Source organism: Homo sapiens, chromosome 20 (assembly GCF_000001405.40).
Source record: "Homo sapiens chromosome 20, GRCh38.p14 Primary Assembly".
NCBI lineage: Eukaryota > Metazoa > Chordata > Mammalia > Primates > Hominidae > Homo > Homo sapiens.
The window spans coordinates 56,026,565-56,030,169 of NC_000020.11; positions in this window are offsets into that span (position 1 = coordinate 56,026,565).

A 3,605-nucleotide genomic window follows, 5' to 3' on the forward strand; every position below is an offset into this window, starting at 1 on the left:
ATCATATAACCAACTTGACTGGGGCTGTGTGTTAGAACCTAGAGGATGGCACTGCATCCTCTTCGGAAAGCATCTCCAAGCTTTGCCTCAGTTGCACCTCCAAAAGGCCATTCTGTTGCTCAGGCTGGCTGCTTCAGAGTCGCCACGAAGTGGCAGGACCCGTGTGCTCACGGCCACATTTCCTTTACTGTAAAGTGATCCAACACAATTTTATGCCAGATTCTGTGCAGATAGATCAAATACTGTAGAGTCTTGGAACATGGTACTGGCAGAGGCCCTGCGAGCAGGACAGGAAAACTCAGCTGGAATAAGTATTGACACGACTCAAGAGGAAGCGTTGTGCCTTGCGAGTGGAAAGGAGATTGATGTAATCAATTTGCCACCAAGTGACTGACTAGACTCCTTAGGGAATAGTGTCCTATCACATGCTTGGCACACATTCTGTGGCTGGCAGGTTGGATATCCAGCAGTAGCAGCAGCTAGACAAGCCTTGGTGATTGAAAAGTCCTTGCTACTGGGCCATGCACATCTTCCATCCCTGCTGCCATAGCTGCTGCATCATCCACTTGCTGTGCCAGCACTGGCTGGCCAATGATAGATACTGGCCACAATCAGCTAGTCGAGTTATTCTGTCTCCTTGATTATTTAGTGCTTTTTCTCTGGTGGTTGCTCTCTGGTGGGCATTGGAATACAATACAAAGAGGTTCACACCTTGTGCCTTCTCACATGGTTCCATCCGCATGCTATTTCCTCAAATCATCTTGATCCCATTCTTCCAAAGCCCTTTCTTTTTTTAGGCCCCCAACCAATCATCTGAGCAACCCCCATAGCCTGTGAGTCTACATTCTATTCTTAGGGCTCATCTCTTTTCACACACAGTGTATGGCTGGGAGCACTGCCTAAAGGTCTGCCATTGGGAGGATTTCTCTTCTCTGCTCTTTTCTGGGACATCCCTGAGTGTGCAACAGCTTTTGATCTCACACACCGAGCCAACACATCCATGAAACAAATGTGGTCCCTTTCATTCTTTTTCAGGTGGTCATAAGGGAACCCTCATGTGGCCTCATGTGTGTACCAATGGATAAGCAATCGTACAGCCCTGGTGAATTACATGGGGTTCTGGATCACCTGTTCATGGAGCTGATTTGTGCTCTCCAGCCTTGTTTCTTCCCAATACCAGATGTGCCATGTACACCTTTCCATGCATTGCTGCTGGACCTGGTAGGTCCTACATCATTTTGGGTAGCCCTGGACACATGGTCACTTGATATTCCATGGTCAGGGACTCCATCTCTACAAAAGCCACTAGAATGCCAAGAGCTGCTTTTAAAATGACATGCAATTATCTGCTACAGATGGCATGGCTGCACTCCAGAAACCTAGGGCTCTGCATTATCTTCCTACTGGAGTTTGCCATAAACTGCACTCTGCATCTTTCCCCATCAGATACTTCCAATGCCATTTGGCCTTTCAGGTCATATGTCTAAGCAGCAGGACCAATTGCACTGCAGTCTGGACCTCTACAGAGCCTTTTTCTGCTATCAGCCCTATTCCATGCTGAAAGCTCTAGGTTATTCAGTTTCCCACCTTGATAAAAGAGAGTCAAGTTTTATACCTCCTTGATAAGTCTATGAATTCAGGCTACTTCCAGGACAAGGAGGTTCTCTTTAGCCAAAGGAACTTTCCAGAGAGCAATCCAACTAAGAGCCATCAATCACTAACACTCTCAGGAGCTGAAAAAAGAATGCCTCGGTTCTGAAAGAAGGGTCTGGGTGATATACCAGAGAATCCACTATAGGATCTGCTTTAAAGGCCTGAAAGAAACTTGCACAGAGAGAATTCACCAGATACGTGGCAACTGCAGGAGCCCACATATCTCAAGTGAGAGAAAGAAACAGAGACTTAGAGAGACAGACAGACAACCTAATGTTTTGCTAATTCTTCCCTAAAATTGGGTTTTTAAGTATCTACTGCATCTTTAAGGTAACTCAGCTTCTCATAAGCTAATCTAATTGAGTTTCTGTTCCTTGCAACTAAATATTCCCTGTGTCTGTAAGATTTTCTACCTAATGGCTGTAAGTAATTCGAAATAAATAGTAAGAATTCAAACTTCCAGGGTTCGGGAATGTAGTTCAAATGTTAGCACCATATATTCACTGTCAACTTAAAGAGTTCTTTGAGGTTTTTGGGGGGTTTGTTTGTTTGTTTGCTTTTGAGATGGAGTCTCGCTCTGTCATACCCAGGCTGGAGTGCGGTGGTACGATCTCAGCTCACTGCAACCTCTGCCTCCCGAATTCAAGCAATTCTCCTGCTTCAGCCTCCTGAGTAGCTGGATTACAGGCACCCGCCACCACACCCAGCCAATTTTTATATTTTCAGTAGAGACGGGGTTTCACCATGTTGGCCAGGCTAGTAGTCTCAAACTCCTGACCTCAGGTGATCCACCCACCTTGGTCTCCTAAAGCCCTGGGGTTACAGGCATGAGCCACAGCGCCCAGCCGTTCTTTTAGTTTTAAATGTAACATGAAGTAGAAACTGAAAAAAGCATACGAAACCTAAGCGTCTGATTAAATATTACGACAATCCTCAAAATTAAGTCAAACAACTTAAAGGCTTTATTTTATCCAAGTATGGCTCTAATAGCGTATACACAATTTACTCCCTAAAGACCATACAATTCGGATTTGTGGATGGTTACAAAAAATGCAAAGCCAGAGAGATGTTTACTCTGGAACTATCTATCTGTGATAATTTATGAGATTATCTTGAGAAATACAATCTGTTTCACCTTTACTCACCCCTAAGTAATAACACTATCTTAAAAAGTCTGTTGCATCAGTTAGCTATTGCTGGGTAACAAACCTCCCCAAATATCAGTGGCTTTGAATAAGCATTTACTATTGCTTATGCATCTAAGGGTCAGCTTGGAAGTTTGGTCTGTAATGTGCTTCATGACACTTCTGAGATCAGTTGAACTTTACATGGGTGGTGCTATTTGACTGAGATCTTATAATATACATGGTTTAGGATGACTTTAAATGGAACAACTGAACTTGCTTTTATATGGACATTTCCCTTCTCGTTAGCCAGCCTTGGCTTTTTCTCATGGCAGAGGTAGGGTCCCAAAAGCATGAGTTGAAAATGTGCAATGCCTCTTGCAGCCTAAGCTTGAAGTGACATATAGTCACATTTATCACATTCTATTAGCCAAAGCAAGCCACATAGCAAGACTTGATTCACAGTGGAAAAACAGACTCTACCCCATGATGAGCCAAGCTTCGAAGTCTCAATGCAGGGGCTGTGGATACAGAGAAAAGATGGGTTAGAGTCATTTTTGCAATCAAGTACAACTATAAGAGACTAATATTCATCCTAGTCAACCATTTTCTAGCTGTGTGACTCTGAATAATTTAACTACTTCATCCGTTATTTATTTTCACAATTTATAAAATAGATAATAATACACAATCTGCCTAAATGTTGTTGTGAATATCAAATAACACATAAAGTACATGTCACAAAGCCTGGTACATACTCAACAAATATTAGCTATTATTTCTTGTTGATAATATTTATAAACTTCTTCATTCATTTTTTAAACTTGT